This window comes from Homo sapiens, chromosome 6 (assembly GCF_000001405.40).
Source record: "Homo sapiens chromosome 6, GRCh38.p14 Primary Assembly".
Taxonomy (NCBI): Eukaryota; Metazoa; Chordata; class Mammalia; order Primates; family Hominidae; genus Homo; species Homo sapiens.
The window spans coordinates 31,528,910-31,546,850 of NC_000006.12; the positions used below are offsets into that span (position 1 = coordinate 31,528,910).

At 48.3% G+C, this 17,941-nt stretch overlaps 3 protein-coding genes, 2 long non-coding RNA genes and 2 other non-coding genes across 12 annotated transcripts, besides 5 other annotated features; 2 read left to right on the forward strand and 5 right to left on the reverse strand.

Annotated features, from left to right (window-relative positions):
* The first annotated feature begins 52 nt into the window (after positions 1-52).
* Positions 53-1,323, forward strand: MCCD1 (mitochondrial coiled-coil domain 1). Its single transcript, NM_001011700.3, has 2 exons — positions 53-276; positions 838-1,323. Exons 1-2 carry the CDS (start codon positions 106-108, stop codon positions 1,024-1,026), a joined length of 360 nt encoding a protein of 119 aa, NP_001011700.2. The 5' UTR covers positions 53-105; the 3' UTR covers positions 1,027-1,323.
* On the reverse strand, positions 1,310-17,939 carry ATP6V1G2-DDX39B (ATP6V1G2-DDX39B readthrough (NMD candidate)). The gene is made up of 13 exons (NR_037853.1): positions 17,569-17,939; positions 17,200-17,300; positions 13,041-13,239; positions 11,413-11,755; positions 10,238-10,365; positions 9,854-9,946; positions 7,591-7,774; positions 6,458-6,576; positions 3,871-4,002; positions 2,387-2,496; positions 2,144-2,288; positions 1,870-2,017; positions 1,310-1,541 (listed from the first exon to the last, which is right to left on the reverse strand). It is a non-coding gene; the product is annotated as an ATP6V1G2-DDX39B readthrough (NMD candidate) (long non-coding RNA).
* DDX39B (DExD-box helicase 39B) lies at positions 1,317-13,094 on the reverse strand. 3 transcript variants are annotated; one of them, NM_080598.6, is made up of 11 exons: positions 13,041-13,094; positions 11,413-11,625; positions 10,238-10,365; positions 9,854-9,946; positions 7,591-7,774; positions 6,458-6,576; positions 3,871-4,002; positions 2,387-2,496; positions 2,144-2,288; positions 1,870-2,017; positions 1,317-1,541 (listed from the first exon to the last, which is right to left on the reverse strand). In NM_080598.6, the coding sequence occupies exons 2-11, from the start codon at positions 11,621-11,623 to the stop codon at positions 1,525-1,527; spliced, it is 1,287 nt and encodes a 428-aa protein (NP_542165.1). In that variant the 5' UTR covers positions 11,624-11,625; positions 13,041-13,094; the 3' UTR covers positions 1,317-1,524. The 3 variants fall into 3 exon arrangements, 2 of the variants coding, with proteins under 2 accessions (NP_542165.1, NP_004631.1); NM_004640.7 differs by having other exon boundaries at positions 11,413-11,755; NR_037852.2 differs by lacking the exons at positions 9,854-9,946; positions 10,238-10,365 and having other exon boundaries at positions 11,413-11,755.
* Positions 7,465-7,540, reverse strand: SNORD117 (small nucleolar RNA, C/D box 117). The gene has a single exon (NR_003140.1). It is a non-coding gene; the product is annotated as a small nucleolar RNA, C/D box 117 (small nucleolar RNA).
* Positions 12,192-12,269, reverse strand: SNORD84 (small nucleolar RNA, C/D box 84). Its single transcript, NR_003065.1, has one exon. It is a non-coding gene; the product is annotated as a small nucleolar RNA, C/D box 84 (small nucleolar RNA).
* Positions 12,524-13,723: an enhancer, noted in NCBI's record as "MED14-independent group 3 enhancer chr6:31509210-31510409 (GRCh37/hg19 assembly coordinates)". NCBI's record gives its function as "activates an origin of replication core promoter dependent on BRD2, BRD4, P300/CBP and CDK7 cofactors, and independent of MED14, by STARR-seq in HCT116 cells {active_cell/tissue: HCT116}" and the evidence as "EXISTENCE:reporter gene assay evidence [ECO:0000049][PMID:35650434]".
* Positions 12,524-13,751: a biological region, named in NCBI's record as "MED14-independent group 3 enhancer GRCh37_chr6:31509210-31510409".
* Positions 12,601-13,522: an enhancer, noted in NCBI's record as "NANOG-H3K27ac-H3K4me1 hESC enhancer chr6:31509287-31510208 (GRCh37/hg19 assembly coordinates)". NCBI's record gives its function as "activates a minimal SCP1, AML or CMV promoter by ChIP-STARR-seq in primed H9 embryonic stem cells {active_cell/tissue: H9 hESC(primed)}" and the evidence as "EXISTENCE:reporter gene assay evidence [ECO:0000049][PMID:30033119]".
* Positions 12,836-13,751: a silencer, noted in NCBI's record as "fragment chr6:31509522-31510437 (GRCh37/hg19 assembly coordinates)". NCBI's record gives its function as "represses an EF-1alpha promoter that drives an FKBP-Casp9 reporter gene in an ReSE screen in HepG2 liver carcinoma cells {active_cell/tissue: HepG2}" and the evidence as "EXISTENCE:reporter gene assay evidence [ECO:0000049][PMID:32094911]".
* DDX39B-AS1 (DDX39B antisense RNA 1) lies at positions 13,395-14,229 on the forward strand. 2 transcript variants are annotated; one of them, NR_133674.1, is made up of 2 exons: positions 13,395-13,487; positions 13,796-14,229. It is a non-coding gene; the product is annotated as a DDX39B antisense RNA 1 (long non-coding RNA). The 2 variants fall into 2 exon arrangements; NR_133675.1 differs by having other exon boundaries at positions 13,800-14,229.
* ATP6V1G2 (ATPase H+ transporting V1 subunit G2) lies at positions 15,535-17,833 on the reverse strand. Of its 3 annotated transcripts, none has more exons than NM_138282.3 (3): positions 17,723-17,833; positions 17,200-17,300; positions 15,535-16,672 (listed from the first exon to the last, which is right to left on the reverse strand). In NM_138282.3, exons 2-3 carry the CDS (start codon positions 17,257-17,259, stop codon positions 16,499-16,501), a joined length of 234 nt encoding a protein of 77 aa, NP_612139.1. In that variant the 5' UTR covers positions 17,260-17,300; positions 17,723-17,833; the 3' UTR covers positions 15,535-16,498. The 3 variants fall into 3 exon arrangements, with proteins under 3 accessions (NP_612139.1, NP_001191007.1, NP_569730.1); NM_001204078.2 differs by lacking the exon at positions 17,723-17,833 and adding an exon at positions 17,569-17,699 and having other exon boundaries at positions 15,535-16,630; positions 17,278-17,300; NM_130463.4 differs by lacking the exon at positions 17,723-17,833 and adding an exon at positions 17,569-17,699.
* Positions 17,233-17,732: an enhancer, noted in NCBI's record as "H3K4me1 hESC enhancer chr6:31513919-31514418 (GRCh37/hg19 assembly coordinates)". NCBI's record gives its function as "activates a minimal SCP1, AML or CMV promoter by ChIP-STARR-seq in primed H9 embryonic stem cells {active_cell/tissue: H9 hESC(primed)}" and the evidence as "EXISTENCE:reporter gene assay evidence [ECO:0000049][PMID:30033119]".

Consider the following 17,941-nt stretch of genomic DNA (forward strand, 5'->3'; position numbering starts at 1 on the left):
GGGGCCTGGGCAGGGCCAGGCACTCAAGTGAGGCCAAGTCCTGGAGCGAACCAGTTCCTGGTGGCCGTTGGACAGCTCACACAGCTCCCTGCCAGGTCACCCGCCATGGTCCTCCCTCTGCCCTGGCTCTCTCGGTACCATTTCCTTCGCCTCCTTCTGCCCTCCTGGTCCTTGGCACCCCAGGGCTCCCATGGGTGCTGCTCCCAAAACCCCAAAGCAAGCATGGAAGAGCAGACCAGCTCCAGAGGAAATGGGAAGATGACGTCCCCTCCCAGGGTAAGTGGCACCACAGGTAGGAACAGAGGGTGTGAGAATTTACACTGGGGTGTGGGAAAAAAAAACCCTCAATCCCACCCTGCACCACCCCACACCATGCCTACCCCTGCAGCTCTTTTCTTAGTTCAGCTACCAACTCCTCTCCCCACCTCCCCCAGCCCAGACCTCAGGGTTCCCTTCCCTCACCCCACCCCCACCCACAACAGCACAGTCCACAAAGTCCTTGAACAGGATCTATTCCCCCTCACCTAACAGTTAATTATTTCTTAGCGGGGAGGAGCAGCTGATCCTCTTTCCAGTGACCCCATATCCTTGTTCAAGGAAGCCAGTTACAGCCCCTGGGCCAGGGAACTCTATTTGCTCCCCCTACTACCACCCAGAGGCCTATGCCCAAGACAGGAAGCTACCTGGCCTTCTCAGTACAGGTGTCCTTAAACGACCGGTTCAAAAACGAATAGGGAAGGTGGAATTTCTCACTTCCAGCCACAGCCTGCAACAAAGCTTCCCAGGGCCTCAGCCCCCTGCCCTGGCTGATGCTCCCTCCCTTAATTCCCTGACCAGGGCCCTGGGACCCACCGCACAGCTGAGCTGGCCCGAGCTGAAGAGTTGTTGGAGCAGCAGCTGGAGCTGTACCAGGCCCTCCTTGAAGGGCAGGAGGGAGCCTGGGAGGCCCAAGCCCTGGTGCTCAAGATCCAGAAGCTGAAGGAACAGATGAGGAGGCACCAAGAGAGCCTTGGAGGAGGCGCCTAAGTTTCCCCCAGTGCCCACAGCACCCTCCGGCGCTGAAAATACACGCACCACCCACCAGGAGCCTTGGGATCATAAACACCCCAGCGTCTTCCCAGGCCAGAGAAAGTGGAAGAGACCACAAAGCGCAGGCAATTGGCAGGCAGTGGGGGAGCCAGGGCTCTGCAGTCTTAGTCCCATTCCCCTTTGATCTCACAGCAGGCAGGGCACCCAGGCCTTATAGGAATTCACCCTGGACCATGCCCTAAAATAACCTCACCCCAAATACAATAAAGGGACGAAGCACTTATAGATACCACAGACACATGTGTTTCATTTTTAGTTTTGTTAAAAAAAAATTCTGACAAATCAGAAATGGGGGTTCAGGAGTGGTGGTGATGCAAAAGATGGAAGCCATGGGGTGGGGGCTGTCAGGGGTGGGGGCAGTAGTGTCTCCTTCACCCCCACCCTGGTGTCCTCTCCTGAAGGACAGACGGTCACATTCCAAAATGGGCGAGTCTTCTACCGTGTCTGTTCAACTGAGAAGAAAACGTAGCATGGTCAGAATAAGGCATGAAAAGGGGAAAGTGAGGCAGGAACACACGGCACACATGCAGACACTGGTGTACTGCCTGGGTTCAGAGGACGGACGTGGGGGTGAGGGAAGGGATGTAATATGATGAGAGAAGACAAGACACCCCACATAAAGGTCAGAAAAACATCCCAACACAGCATCAAAGACCAGGGGGCATGAACCAGTCAAGTGTCCATTATGCATCAGATGCCCATGACCTATGTGATGGGATTTCGGACAAACACACTAAGGAACAGGGAGGACCTAAAGGGTTTCATGAGATCAGTACTCACTGTAGGAGGAGATGTCTATCTCATCAGGCAGCTCACTAATATTGACCTCAAAGCGATCCTGCACATCATTGAGGATCTTGGCATCATTCTCATCGGACACAAATGTGATAGCCAAGCCCTTGGTGCCAAACCGGCCTGCTCTGGCCACCTGGAGGGAGACAGAGGGTAGCACTGGAAGACCGAAGAGGAAAGAGACCCAGAGGCAGGAATGAAGATGTACAAACAGAAAACAAGGGAATGGGAGAGTGGGATTTTTTCAGCCTGTGAGGTTTACCCGATGCAGGTAGGTGTCAGAATCCTCAGGCATGTCATAATTAAAAGCAATGTTCACCCGCTCGATGTCCATGCCTCGGCCAAATAGGTTGGTAGCCACAAGAATTCGTCGTTGAAAATCTTTAAACTGCTGATACCGAGAAAGCCTTTGTGAGAAAGGAAATTTAAAACATGTTGAGATTCCCTTCTCTCAACTGTCTTTTTCTCCCAAGGACACAAAATATCTTTCCCATCTTCAGCTCACCTCTCCTCCTGGGGCATCCCACGGTGGATGGCAATGGCTGGGAAGTTCTGCTCCACTAGTAGCTGGGCCAAGGCAATGCACCGCTGCACAGACTTCACAAAGATCACCACCTGTTGTGGGGTGGGGTGGGGGGTCGCAAATTGGGGGAATAGGGGTCCATGGTGTGTGAGAGACATTACGTGGGAGAGGGGAGTTTCTAGTAATTACGTTCTCAGGAATTCCTCTTCATTTCTCTTATTCCCCCACTATATATTTAGAGCAGAAAAGGAAATATAACTTTACTTCAGCACTGATTTTTCCCTAAGGAAGCTGGCCTCTGAGGTAGCACAGAGTTCAGAAATCAAAATTGCCAGACATGCTAGGAGATGAGGATGAGATCACCTCATGAAAAAGTGATAAAAAACTAGAATTAAGATCTGGAGGGGTAACTGATATTCCTGCTCACCAAAACATTAAACCTAAGGGAGCTATCCTAATTCTAGAAAGCAGTTTTAAATGCAAATAGACCACTCACAAGTATATTAATTAAACACTTTTTTGAGATGGGGTCTCACTCTGTCCCCCAGACTGGAGTGCAGTGGTGCAATCGCAAGTCACTGCAGCCTCCACCCTCCTGGGTTTAAGAGATCCTTCCACCTCAGCATCCCAAGCAGCTGGGACCACAGGTGCACACCACCACGCCCAGCTACTTTTTTTATTTTTTATTTTTACTATTTGTAGAGACGGGCGTCTCCCTATGTTACCCAGGCTGGTCTTGAAGTCCTGGGCTCAAGCAATGCTCCTGCCTCAGCCTCCCAAAGTACTGGGATTATGGGCATGAGCCACTGCCCTGCACCCAGTCAGAAATGCTTCTCTTGAATAAGCAGTTATTAGAGGAATTAAACATTCAAGAACCCTAACATGCCCCCAAACATCGTTTCAAGACTTTTAACAACTTCCTAAAATCCTTCAAGGACTTTTGGAGACAAGATCTCACTCTGTTGCCCAAGCTGGAGCACAGTAGTGCAATCATAGTTCACTGCAGCCTCAATTTCCTGGGCTCAAGCTATCCTCTCACCTCAGCCACCAGAGTATCTGGGACTACAGGCATACACCACCACACCTGGCTAATTTTTTTCTTCTTTGGTAGTGATGAAGTTTCGCCATGTTGCCCCGACTGGTCTCAAACTCCTGGACTCAAGTGATCCACCTCCCTCAGCCTCCCCAAGTGCTGGGATTACACACATAAGCCACCGTGCCTGGCCAAGGATCTTAATTTTTGAAGTTTATTTTCCTTGAGGTTATTGAGGACATACCCGTGCCAGCCATAGAATAGAAAAGCAGCTCCCACCTTACTCATGCTCAGCCCCTAAGATATTTATACCCTCATTATTCTCTCCCACATCACACATGTGATTTCCTCAATAAAAGTGTACTTAATATCCAGGTTTCTGCTACAGCTGGAGTGCTCCAATGCTCATCCCCCTACTGGACGTCTAACTGACCTGGTTGAACTCAAGGACATCCAGAAGGTCAAAGAGCTTCCGGTTCTTCTCGTTGTCCTTCAGTTTCACGTAGTACTGCTGCAACCCATGCAGCGTCAACTTCGTCTCATCATCCACGAAGATCTCCATTGGCTGGGGGGGAGGAAGGGGGTGGGGAACGGGAGGAGGGCAGAGTGGGGGGGTTAAACCTGGGGGGGTGGAGGAAGTTGATCTCCAATACACCCCATGGGGGGATGGGGAGGAAAGAGAAGATTGAAAACCCCACCCCACTCCCAAAAATACCCACATTTTACTGTGGTCTCTCTCACATTACATCTAATTTCCTTCCTATCAGATGAGTTTTAAGACTGCCCAACTAAAAACTATCATGGGAAAGAAACTGCAAATGAAGTCAAGGAGCAGTGAAACCACCCAATGGCACAGATGCCATTACCTCAAATAGAGGTGGGAGAGGAAAGAAAATGGGAGATGATTCTCAAAGGGAGAGCAAGGACCAAACATCTGGGAAATGATGGGAGGCAGTGACTCAAGGTCAGAATAACTCCATCAGAGGTGCTTCTAAGAACATGGGGTGGGGGGAGGACAACTGCTCCATTTGATTCTCCTACTTCAACTAAGAGAATCTCGTGTGCATTAGCAAAGTGGATGTCTTTTAAGATCAGAATGCTGCAATGGACAGTCAAAATGCCACTTAAGGAGAAACAAAAATTACTCAAGATGAGTTACTTGCCGTCAGACCACAACAGGATAGTTTTAGATGAGACTGGTCTCTTGACTAAGAATTAAACCATCTACAGGTTTACAGGAAAGGTATCAGTAAGTGGTGTTAAAATACCAAATTCAGAGCAGCAGATACACTTTTAAGGGACAGGATCTCACCATGTTGCCCAGGCTGGAGTGCAGTGGCTATTCACTGGCACAATCATAGCACACTATAGCCTCAAATTCCTGGGCTCAAGTGATCCTCCTGCTTCAGTCTCCTGAATAGCTGGGACTACAGGCACACACCATTATACCTCACTGCATTCATCTTTAAAATTAAAAAACCCCCTGAAGGGGAGGAAAGTAACAAAGACAGAAATTACCACAACTCCAAAGCCCAACTTTCCTAACACTTTTTATACTATCCTGGGGGAAGATAGTTAATATGAAGACCCAGAGGACAAAATAGGAAAGGATGCGTGTGTCATGGGAAAAAAACCAGAAGCCCAATCCCAGAAGGCAGGTTTTGTTTTTTGTTTTGTTTTGATACAGGGTCTCTCTCTATCACCCAGGCTGGAGTACAGTGGCACAATTACAGCTTACTGCCACCTCCACGTCCCGGGCTCAAGCAAACCCTCCTGCCTCAGCTTCCCAAGTAGCTGGGACTACAGGCATGCGCCACCACGCCCGGTTTTTCTGGTAGAGACAAAGTCTCACTACACTGCCCCAGCTAGTCTCAAATTCCTGGGCTCAAGCAATCCTCCCACCTTGGCCTCCCAAAGTGCTGGGATTAGAGGTGAGCCACCAGGCCCAGCCAAGGCAGGCTTTCTAAAGAGAAGTTCCATGGCCTCCTTCAAATCTCATTCTAGCCCCAAATACAGCTAAAGAGTGATCATCCCACGGGAAGGAACACTGCAGGGAGGGGAAGAACACACTCCACTGCTTATGCAATTGGCCCCACCTAGCCCCAAACCCTAACAACCACCCGATTACATCCACTTTACCTTTCCTATGTCCCTCTCCTCTGAGTATTAAAAAAAACAAAAAAATTTTTTTAAGAAAAAAAATCTACCACCCCATTCAGGACACCCCTCCCCAACACATATTGGGGGAAACGGGGCACGGCACGCGTTGGGTTCAGGAAAAAAACCGGGAACGGAAAAAGAGGCTGGTTTGGTCCTCAGCTTCCTGGTCAGGTTTCCCCGCGGCCTCCGCTGCCGCCATCCACCGCTGGGTGCCGTCTGCATTCCCTCGCCGCGCCACGGTGCTTCTCTGTTGCCGGCTCACATCAACCGAGGTTCCAGATGGGTGCAAGGAGATGTGGGTGGGAAGGAGTAGGGTATCGGGGATTGAGGTGCCAAAGGCCCCCACCCCTGGAGGTGGGGAAGGGGAGGATTCATTTGTGCTGATGCTCTTCTTTTGGACATGCCCTGCCATCTGTCTGTCCCTCTCTTGCTCTCCTGCCACCGGGAAGTAGGAGTTTTGGTGAGCAGAAGGCTCCAGCTGTACGCTCGATGCCACCTTGAGGGTGCGTGGCTGTAGGGTGCATGTAAGAGACGATGGATGGGTGGGTGGTAGGGCAGAAAAATCCTGCCCTCCCCCAAAGGGAGAAGAGGTTCAAAAATGTTGTGATTTATGAAAAAGTCGAACACTACCCGCTCTCACATTAACCCGACCAAGTCTTCCGGAGTTTCCCTGGCACCCGCGCAGGCCCTAACACTAGCTGTCTCTGCTTCTGTATGTCTCTTCAAGGAGTCATTACTCCCAGTTGGGCACAAGCCGCCTTCTTGGCACTTGAATGACAAGGGAGTCTGAGGAAGAGGGCGAGGAAGGGGAGGAGGCAGCGGGCGGGGAGTGGAGGGAGAGAAGGTAGAAGGGTATTTACATCTTGCATGAACTTGCGGCAGACTGGACGGATCTCTTTGCTCAAGGTAGCACTGAACATCATGACCTGCTTCTCGTGGGGGGTCATGCGAAAAATTTCCTGGACATCCCGACGCATGTCTACAAGAACAAGGAAAAAAATTGTAGGAGAAAATAAGCAGGTATGATAAACAAAGATTAGAGGTAGACTTCCCAGTGAGGTGAAGATTGCTGGAAATAGTAACAACACAATGGAAAGAGCAATGGACTTGGAATCAAGAAGTGGGATCAGATTCCAGCTGTTTGTTTTAACCAAGCAAGAAATAAGGTAAAACCCCAAAGTTCCCAACTATGAAATGGGGATAAAGCCCAGTGCAGAGGCTCTCAAGGCCTTCAAAACATGCTTTATGGGACCTTCTCCCAACCCTTTCCTGCCCAAGCCCCAGCCAGCCTTCAGCAGACTACAAATATCAAGCACATATTATATTCCAGATATCAGAGTCCATCTATGACTCTCTGGATTACTTTTCTATCAAGTCAGGCAAATATGACATCCCTACCTGGAGCCCACCTTTATAGCTCACCATATAGAATTGCCAAAGATCATTTGTAATGACTTATGGGGCCTATGTCCAACCCCACTCTCATTCACCAAGATTCAATTCTTACAGAAAAATCTTCCATTAACCCCACCTGGCACACTAGAATACCACATCACACAAACTGCTACAAACACTCTCTACATTAATCCCAGACCTGAGTCTAGACACTTATTCAGCTATAAATTCTGACTGTAAATGCTGTGCTGGAGATGCCAGAAGGGTACTGTCTTCTCTTTCAGTTTAGAATCTCCGCTATGACTCCCAGTATATGAATCTATAATGAAAACGGTGGTGGTGGTGATGACTTATGCCTAAAATTATCAAAGTCCCCTATTCTCAAAGGTTAAAAACAAAAATCATAGAAAGATGATAGATGACACCCTTTACTGTGCTTAAAAGCATAATAAAGACCAACCAGGGAACCCAGAGCCATCAGTCATGGGTGATAGATAAGAGTCGTCCTTGCACTGAGGTGCTCCTGTTTCAAATAAACATCATTTGGCTCCAAAGAACAACTCCCCAGCATTAGCCAAGCCCCAGCACTGCCACTCACCGAGCTGTTCAAGCATCTTATCACATTCATCCAAAATAAAGTGTTTAATGTGTTTGAGGTTGAGGCTCTTATTTCGAGCCAGGGCTAGGATACGGCCTGGAGTCCCCACGACGATATGCGGGCAGTTCTTCTTCAGCACCTCTTCATCCTTCTTGATAGACAGACCACCAAAAAAAACAGCAACCTGCCGAGCCAGAAGCAAAGAGTCTCAAAACAGAGGAAGGAAAGAGTCCAATCCCCCCAGGGTTCCCACTCTGTTTGAGCTAAACCAATTTTTAGCATGTTTCCAAACTAAAACTAACTTTAGAGGGCACCTAATTTAAAAATTTTATGTCCCCCCCACCAAACACTGAGGGTGATTGCCTAAAGTTACATGGCTAGTCGGAGCAGTCAGGACAATAATTCAGTTCTACTGACTTAATCTAACCAACTTCCTTCATTTATGAGGCCAGGCTTCATTTAAAAAATAAAGGAGCCAGGTGTGGTGGCACACGCCTATAATTCCAGCTACTCAGGAGGCTGAGGCACGAGAACCTGGGAGGCAGAGGTTGTGGTGAGCCAAGATCCCACCGTTGTACTCCAGCCTGGGCAACAAGAGTGATACTCCATCTCAAAAAGAAATAAAATAAATAAAAATAAAATAAAGCCAGGCCCAGTGGCTCACGCCTGTAATCCCAGCAGTTTGGGAGGTCAAGGAAAGTGGATCACTTGAAGCCAGGAGTTCAAGACCAGCCTGGCCAACACGGTGAAACCCCATCTCTACTAAAATACAAAATTTACAAATTTACTACTAAAAAACAAAAAATACAAAATTTAGCCGGGAGGCTGAGGCAGGAGAATCGCTTGAACCCGGGAGGTGGAGATTGCAGTGAGGCGAGATTGAGCCACTGTACTCCAGCCTGGATGACAGAGCGAGACTCCATCTCAAAAAATAAAAAATAAATAAATAAAGGACAGCAAGAAATCACCAGATTAGTGTAAAGTACCACAAAAAACACATGGAACATTAAGGTTTCCTAAATAAACCCAGAATCTCAAACTCTTTTCACACAAACCCCATGAAATTACTGCTTCGGGCTAAATATTATCATTTCATGTTAAAACCATTAGGTGAATAGTTGTTTGGGGATCTGGGCCTTGGTACAGTATCAAATAACACCAGAAACTACTTTCTGGTTTCAAGGGGGAAAAGAACAACTGTGGAATCAGACTGTCACGACGCTAATCCTATGGTAAATCTAAAATCATTAATGAGGCCAGGTGCAGTGGCTCACTCCTGTAATCCCAGCACTTTGGGAGGCCGAGGTGGGTGGATCACTTGAGGTCAGGAGTTCGAGACCAGCCTGGCCAACATGGCGAAACCCTGTCACTACTAAAAAAAAACAAAAATTAGCCAGGCATGATGGCACACTGTAGTCCCAGCTACTCGGGGGGTTGAGGCGGGAGAATCGCTTGAACGTGGGAGGCGCAGGTTGCAGTGAGCTGAGATCGCGCCACTACACTCACAGCCTGAGGGACACAGCGAGACTCCATCTCAAAACAAATAAATAAAAATAAAATAAAATAACTAACATAAGTCGACCAGATTTGTGGCATAACAGGAGATACAGTATCACCTATGAAGGATTCTTGCCAAAAATGCTTAACTTCAATCAGATTTTTTCTTTTTTTTTGAGATGGGAGTCTCACTCTGCCACCCAGGCTGGAGTGTAATGGCACAATCCCAGCTCACTACAACCTCTGCTTCCTGGGTTCAAGCGATTCCCCTGCCTCAGCCTCCCAAGCAGGTGGGACTATAGGTGTGTGCCACCATGCACGGCTAATTTTTGCATTTTTAGTAGAGAGAGGGTTTCATCCTGTTGGCCACATTGGTCTTAAACTCCTGACCTCAAATAATCCACACGCCTTGGCCTCCCAAACTGCTGAGATTACAGGTGTAAGCCATTGTGCACTTGGCCAGAATCCTCAATATTCACACACCACTGGAGCTGTTTTAAAGTTTCCGGCTTTCTCTGCCACATACCCCAAAATTATTAAACTGATATGATTCAAAGTCAGTATAAAGTAGTAAGAAAAGGGTGGTCTTGTGTTAAGCATCATCCATAGCCCAATTACGAATCCTCCTGTTACATAGGAACTCAACACTCTGTTACACCACAGCAAACTAAAGCTTCTCCAAAATTAAAGAGACTATTGGCCTACAAGTTTCTTATCCCTCCAACTTGCCACACCCTCACTCTCAGGTCTCTTTACCTTGGCTTACCTTGACATTGGGCATGTATTTAGAGAAGCGCTCATATTCCTTGCTGATCTGAAAAGCCAACTCCCGAGTGTGACACATCACCAGTACAGACACCTTAGGCAGGAAGTAGACGGAGACATATGGTAAATGTAGCTCTTCATTATCCCCTCTAGGGAAGTGACTGTCACAAAAACACACCTGGGCCGATAATAAATGACTTCAATTATGTGATCTAAATCATGAACCCCACGCTTGCGACAGAACATCCCCCACAGCTGTCAGGTTGTCAAGGGTAACAGAGGTCATGTGCTCATGGCTCTGCAAGCATCATGTAGCTAGGACAAAAACACCCTTCCCTTATAGTCCTAACCAAAATCCCCTCCCCAGCACTCTCCCCAAATATACCTGCCCAGTAACTGGCTCCAGCTGTTGCAGTGTGGCCAAGACAAACACTGCTGTCTTTCCCATGCCCGACTTGGCCTGGCACAGGACATCCATTCCCAGAATGGCCTGAGGGATGCACTCATGCTGGACTAAAAGTTGGGGGGGGAGGAAGATAAATTAGACTTCAGTCTCCAGATAACTCTACCTTTTTCACCATGCCAAGCCCATTTCTTACCACTCAATTCTCAAAGTCTAGTATTTACCTGGTTCTTGCCAACTTCCAGACCCATTTTACCTCTCTCTGCTCAATTACATTCACCTCAAAATCAGACTCTCCTAATTCCTCCTAGCTTTAGCCTCCTCCAGATCTAGGCCTTCCCAGTCCTAGTAACAAACCCCTTGCATCTACCAACCGCTCACCTTCAATGATCCTAGCTCTGTCCTTATTTTTCTTAATCTGTAACAATTCATGACATTTGAATACCTGCCACAGACCACTTCTCCTGCTTAGGTTGCTATACTTCGGGTCACGTAACTACTACAACCCTGGACAAAATGAAGGACTTGGTACCTGACCCAGAAGCCAGTCATCTCTAAACCAGTCATAGAGGTTTCCAGAGACCACAGTTGGCCTGGCCCAACAGAGGGAGACTACAGGTCCAAGCAGGACCTTTCTGGAAATTTAAAATTAGAAGTCAAGTGACAAAATTAAAAATAAGCAGACAAGAAAAGCCAGTCACAAGAATGAATGGCAGACCTGGAAGTCACTTTTGGATCATTAGCACTTTGGTGCTATCACGAAAGAAAGAATAAGCCTGTATAAGCCTCCTCTATCCAAAATTGTTTTTGATACTTATCCCCTGATTTTTTCTTCCTCACTGTCGCCCCGGCTGGTGCACAGTGGTGCAATCACGGCTCACTGAAGCCTCAACCTTCACCTGCTTAATTTCTGAACGTTTTGTAGAGACAGGAGTCTCGCTGTGTTGCCCAGGCTTCTCTTGCACTTTTGAGCTCAAGTGGCCACCCTCCTGCCTCGGCCTCCCAAAGTGCTGGGATTACAGGCGTGAGCCACTGCACCTGGCCCTGATCTAGCCTTAAGTATAAACCCTTACCACCACCTGAGCAACGACAAACACATCTTTGTATTGTACCCTTAAAGAGCCCAATGAGCACTACATGCCCAAGAGAAAATTTACCTTCTGACGGATGCTCAAAGCCACAGTCGACAATGGCCCGGAGCAACTCTGGCTTGAGCAGGAAGTCACGAAAGCCAGAGCTGTGGATGGAGACATAGGAGCCCTTGACATCCTTCTTGGCAGGGGCCTCAGCCCCATCTCCCCCAGCTGCTGTCTCCACCTCATCATCTTCATAGTCCAAGAGCTCATTGTCCACATCGTTCTCTGCCATAACTGGGCCGGCAGGGGAAGAAGGGAAGGGGGATCTGGATGGGTTCTCGCAAAATAGGTGAAAACAAGGGGTGAAGAGTAGGGGATTGAGGAACAGCAAAGGAAAACAAAGATACTATTTCTAACAGAAGAGCTGGAGGGGGGAAAAAAAAAAGCAAGACTTAATCACGAGCACAGCCTTCACCACCTCTTTTCCATCCCCAGTTCCCACTTTCCCTAAACCAGGAAACTTTTACCTGGAAAGAAAAACAGATACAAAACATAAAAACGAAAAGCAAATATAACAGAACAGAAAAAGCAGTACCAGGGAAAGTGGTTAGGACAGAGGTTCCCAACAAGATTAGCAATCACAGTAGCGGAAACCAGAAAAGTTGGAAGGGGAAGACCAACTTATAAATTCTTGATCTGAAAGTAACAGTGAGGAAATAGAATAGATAATAAAAGGTAAAATACGACTAATAACTTAGTAAAGTGGAAAATGGAGATGACAAGTAGAGTCCTGAAAAGTCCTCAAAGGAAGACTCCGCTTTCCCTATTATAATCCCACCGTTATGGATGCCTAACTCAGCAGCCATCAGTCAAGGGTGATAGATGAGGGTCATCACTGCGCAAAGCGCTCACCTTTCGAAAAGAAAACATCATATGGCCGCCGTCCACCTCCCATAGCTCTCAGCCTCCCACTTCTCAGTATCCTCCCTTCCGCTGTTTAAGCAAGCCTTGTGTAATTAGCATGGGGGGGAGGGGCGGTGCAAGACAAATGGCTCGGCCACAAAAAAACAAAATTCATGTCTCCACCCTACAATAAGAAAGCTAATAGGTGACAGAGAAAGGCAATCCCCGCCCAGGCTTTAACAGGATCTTTACCAAGTGGTCTCACATCACTGTTACGCTACGAAGGTGAGACTCCTTTTGGAGAAACATACAATGACACCAATCGTATCGTAAACACTTGGAAGGCACTCCAAATTAAGTTGGGCAAGTCAAGGTGAGAAAAATCCAACTGGGCCCAGAAACCAGCTCCTCCTCCCAGTCCCACCGAGGGCCGAGAAAGAGCTCAAGAAAGGACAAGGAAGGTGAGAAGAGCCCCGCCCTCCGCAAATACCAAGACCAAGGGACGCCGAGCGCCGCCTCTCATTGATGCTGAGGCCTCCAATATGAGAAGAACCCATTGGAAGAAGGGAGCAAAACGAACACAATGGCGCCGAGGACACCATCTTGGATTGGGTCCCCCCTTAGCTTCCCTTCCTTCCCCCAGGAGCTCTTTGCTCTCGAAAGGGATGCAAGCTAAGGAAATAGCGAACCAACTAGGCCCCAGCGACCAGACCATCGCCTGTGAAAAGGGTATCAGGAACCCATGTGACGGGATGGGTGCGGAGAAGCGCAGATGGAAACGGATTGTAGCGAAGGCCAAAGCTTACCTAAACAGGGAGAGCGCGTATGGCGGCAGCAACAGCGACGAAGGAGGGAAATCTGCCTTCACTTCCGGTTGCAGGCTTCCCTCTACTCCAGCCTCCCGCCTTCTTGGCTGCAAGAGCGCAGGCGCAAGGGACCGGAAACAGGGCCTTCCGCGGTTATACAGATCCGTGCGCTCCAGGCTTGCCTTTGGAAAATGCCTGTCTGAAATTTGTTTTAAAACCGTTTCTAACTTCACTGCTACCGCCAGTAACAAAAGATATAAAGGAAACTAACGTCTCCCCCCCACTGTTATCTTTATTCTCTTATCCTACTCCTCTCCATGCCCCTCATCTCTTCGTTTAGGTTTTTGCCACGCAGGTCTTCTCTGTAGGCACCCCTCCATGGATGCGCGAGGAACGAGTGTGGCGAAGGCTGCGAGTTCCCACGGGGTCCTTGGCCCGGTAGTGAAGGTGACCTGAGGACTGCTGGGCACGCACTAGGAACCGGCAGGCCCTAGCTGAGGGGAGGGAGGAGGGAAGTCTCAGGGAACTGGATTGCTCGGGGGTGTTTCCCGACTCTTTCCCAGTCGTGGGGCTGGTGGGCGGTATTTTCCCAAAAGGATGCTGTCCGAGGTAGCTGATGCCCTAGGGCCAGTGAGTCAGGAAGGTGTTCTGAATCCGAGCGGGAAGACGGGGTCTGGATTCGGCCCCAAGTGTTAATAGTAGGGCTTGAGGGTTATACTACATTCCATTAATACTGTTTTTGTTTTTGTTTTGAGACAGAGTCTCGCCCTGTCGCCCAGGCGGGAGTGCAATGTCCTGATCTCGGCTCACTGCAACCGCTGCTTCCCGGGTTCAAGCGATTCTCCTGCCTCAGCCTCCCGAGTAGCTAGGATTACAGGCGCCCGCCACCACGCCCAGCAAATTTTTGTTTTTTTAGTAGAGACGGGGCTTCACCCATGTATGACCTCAGGTGATCCACCCACTTCGGCCTCCCAGAGTGCTGGGATTACAGGCGTGAGCCACCGCGCCCGGCCCATTAATACTGTTAATTCGAGCAGAATGTTCTTGGCCCCGCCCCAACAGCCCCATTGTTCAACCTGGATTTTTTTCCTGAATGAAACATTTGCTATCCCCGTCTTTGAGATGGGGAGCTACAAAAGTAAGACCTGATGTCCTGCTGTGTAATAAAACAACAAACGTTTGGCCCTCTCCCTGTTAACATACTTAATCATTTAATACTAAGGAGTAGGTACCGTTATTCTCATCTTATTGACAGAAGCGAAGCAAAGCAACATATCTCAAGCAGTACGGCTGGTGAGGTTACAGCCAGGATGCAAACATCTCTCATTCTCTATTGTATTCTGCCTCCCTGCTCAAAGAATCTGGTTAGTAAATACACTGCAGGTTACCTTATTGGTTCAAATTCTTGGTGAAGTAAGCTTGTCTTCAGTGACAAATGAAGTAACTAATTCAAGAATGGTGTCATAGAAGGTATTTTCCCAAGTATCATTTAATTTATTCAAAAGTATTTATCAACTGCCTCCCTTGTGCCACATGTTGTCCTAGGATCTGGGGACACAACGGTGAACAGCCCTGTTCTCACAGTGTTTACATTACAGGAAAGAAAACACATAAACACAAATATAATGTCAAGTATCGATAAGTGGTCAGGGTGCAGTGGCTCAGGCCTGTAACCCAACCCTTGAGGAAGCCGAGCCCGAAGGATTGCTTGAGCCCAGGAGTTTCAGACCAGCCTGGGCAAGTGAGACCCCATCTCTACAAAAAATTTTAAAATTAGCAAGGCATAGTGGCACTCGCCCGTAATCCCAGCTACTCAGGAGGCTGAAGTGGGAGGATCATTTGAGTCCAGGGGGTCAAGGCTGCCGTGAGCTGGAACTCCAGCCTGGGCAACACAGCAGGACCTTGTCTCAAAAAACCAGTAGCAGTAAGTGCTATGAAGAAAATGCAAGGTAAAGGGGCAAAGAGCACTTGCTCCTACACTCCAGCTTTTCTCTACAGTTGCGATCTATAGTCCTCAGATTCCCAAATGAGGAACCATGTTTCTCACTTTAGAGAAATAATAAAGTACTACTTGTTCTTGTTTCTCCAAGAAGTTTCAAAGGATAGCCATTTGGGCTGTTTAGGGAATATGTAAACAAAAAACAAGAAAGTGACTGAAGGCCAGGCACAGTGGCTCACACCTCTAATCTCAGCACTTTGGGAGGCCAAGGCAGGTGGATCACTTGAGGTCAGGAGTTTGAGACCAGCCTGACCAACATGGCGAAACCCCATCTCTACTAAAAATACAAAAAATAGCCAGGCGTGGTGGCACACACCCATAATTCCAGCAACTTGGGAGGCTGAGGCAGGAGAATCGCTTGAACCTGGGAGGCAGAGGTTGCAATGAGCTGAGATCACGCCATTGTATTCCAGCCTGGGCAACAAGAGCAAAACTCCATCTCAAAAAAAAAAAAAACAAAGTGACTGAAAATGAGAAATGATGAGGCAAAAGGAGGCTGCTTCAACTCACCAATTTATTTGCCAATAATTATTTTATTGATACTTTTTTTATTGTTACAATGGGAAAGTAAGGTGTCAAGGATATAGAAAGGAAGGGCATGCATATGAGGGAACACAGTATCATTTTAGATCTTAGAAAGCAATGAGCATCTGATAAGTCTTTGGGGAAATAGGAAAGGAGGAAAATCTAATAAAGACAAAGATCAGCAAAAGAAAAACAAAGAGAGGCTACAAAATGCAGTTATCTACCTGGAATTATAAGAGAGGGGCTAAATGTAGTCATCTCCTCTTTTTGGAGATCAGAAGGTCTCTGGGAAAAGAGAAGAACCAATTTTTCAGAAAATAACTAGGGTCACAGAATGAACAAGTGGAATTAGAGAGCCAGTGATGGACGTGAGGAAACAGCTGTGTAGGTTTTGACCAGTGAGCAGGTGGTGGTAATAGTATCACAGGGTTGCTACTTACTGAATCACTGCTACAACATGCAAGGAACTGTGCTAGACTTTACAGAATGATTCCTAATCATTGAAGCAACCCTCACAAGGTAGGCATTATTATCATCCCAGTTTCACAGAGGAGGACATCGAGGCTACCAAGTTAAGTAGCTTGTCCTGGTTTCACAGCCAGCAAGTGACAGGGTCAAGAGAGGGACCCACATCGGCCAGACACTGAAGTCAGGATGTTTTCCACATTCCTACTTCCCCATATTACAAATTTCACAGAGGGTTTAGGTGAGAATGACTTGGAAGTTTACAAAGTCCCAGTGAGGGTTAAAGAACAACAAGGAGATTCAGATGTGAGCAGGATATTTATAAGTGTCACAGGAAAATTATTGGATCCTGCCTCCCAGGATTTCTAGGGGATGGAAAGAAGACAGGGATTATGGTGGGAGGTGATTTTGATTGGAGGATTTCTTTGAGGGAGGGAACTGGCAGAAGGAGTCAGGCCCTACGGTGGCCCTAGGCAGAAATCCGGTAGTTGGGGTGGACCTGGGGCCTGACGTCGCAGACCATGCCAAGAAGCTGGGCCAGGACACGCTCTCGGTTTCTCTGCTGGGAGCTCTGCATGCCCTGCACCTGGCGCCTTGTAGCCTGCTCCACCTCAGCAGACAGGTTCCCCTGGGAGCCCATGGCCTGGGGGGTAGGGAGAGGGGTGGAAGAGAGAAAGGGAAAAGCAGAAACAGACAAGGGTCCAGGCATATGAGGGGAAAGATCCTGAAACAAAGCCTAGAAGAAAGGCCCTCTCAGAAACCACCCCCATCCCACAGAAATATCCCAACACCAAAGAGATCAACACAGTCCCCTTTCCCCTTAGACCTAACATGCAACTTCATCCTAAAACAGACCGTAATATCCCCACCACCTCACCATCCATGACCATAAAACTCTACCCTCCACCACAAATGTTAATCATACTCCACATAGATGTTATACTTTACACAGACTGTGGCATTCCGCCCACAAGCTCTATGTGGCCTTCAAAACTCCCAGACTCTCCTACATATCATCACAAAGTTTCACCAATGTTGTGGTCCCTGCCAGGGTCCCCTCAGCCTCAGCCCTCTGCCACCATATTTTCTTGTTGAGTCACCCTTACACACCTCACTAGATGCACCCACCAACTTGCAGTGGGGTCTCAACCCGACTCTGCCTCAACTCACCGCCTGCTGCTTGCTCTGGAATTCGTGCTCTCGCTCTCTGCGGTATTGCTCCACCTCCATCTGTGCCTCCTCCTTTGCCTGCTTCAGTCGCCGGGCCTTCCCTGGAGGCAGAAGAAAGGACAGTGAGTGGGGATGGACCCACACACACACAATGTAATAGCAGGAGTCAGTCCCTTCCAGAAAGTTATACAGCCTTCTCTCAGCCAACCAGGTGCCAGATTCTAATATCCATCCATTTCTTCCCTCCTAACCAGCCTCCAGACCCTAGCTGTCTGTCTTCCCGCCAGCCTTGGGTTTTCCCAAAATGTTTGCTGTCCCCCACCCCCAATTTTCTTTCCAAACTCCTAAGGGAGGAAAGAGGAGACTCACTCTTTCTGGCATCTGCCACCTTCTCAGCTGCCCGCTTCTCAGCTTGCAGAAGCTGCTGGATACCTTGGGACTGACTGGCCATTTCTGTTGTTATGGCCGATGCTGTTTTGAATGCTGTCAAAGTACCAGATGGCTCCCACCCCCCACCGCTTACTTCTCCTCCTCCAGCTCGTTGCTGCAGTCCTCCACTACCCCTGGGTCTTAGTGCTCCCCTGCTCACTCAGCCTCCTGCACCGAGTGTCTCTCCCAATCTCATCCTCCTATTGATGACTGGTCCTCCTCTCCAGCACTTCTTGCTCAGGCAGTACCCAAAGGGGCCGCCTGGGAGCAGCAGAGACCAGGCCCAAAGCTGCGGGCTTACAACAGGTTAGCC

Bases quoted from the DNA above. Each gene is read 5' to 3' on its own strand.
- ATP6V1G2 (NM_130463.4), bottom strand. From the start codon at position 17,650: ATGGCCAGTCAGTCCCAAGGTATCCAGCAGCTTCTGCAAGCTGAGAAG. The intron at 17,301-17,568 runs GTGAGTCTCCTC...TTCTGCCTCCAG, and splicing joins GGTGGCAGATGCCAGAAAGA to GGAAGGCCCGGCGACTGAAG. The intron at 16,673-17,199 runs GTGAGTTGAGGC...CCTACCCCCCAG, and splicing joins TCCAGAGCAAGCAGCAGGCG to GCCATGGGCTCCCAGGGGAA.
- DDX39B (NM_080598.6), bottom strand. From the start codon at position 11,623: ATGGCAGAGAACGATGTGGACAATGAGCTCTTGGACTATGAAGATGAT. The intron at 6,577-7,590 runs GTGAGTGGCAGT...TTGTTCTTGTAG, and splicing joins TAAGATGCTTGAACAGCTCG to ACATGCGTCGGGATGTCCAG. The intron at 2,018-2,143 runs GTAAACCTCACA...GTCTCCCTCCAG, and splicing joins CTGACACCTACCTGCATCGG to GTGGCCAGAGCAGGCCGGTT.
- MCCD1 (NM_001011700.3), top strand. From the start codon at position 106: ATGGTCCTCCCTCTGCCCTGGCTCTCTCGGTACCATTTCCTTCGCCTC. The intron at 277-837 runs GTAAGTGGCACC...TTCCCTGACCAG, and splicing joins AGATGACGTCCCCTCCCAGG to GGCCCTGGGACCCACCGCAC.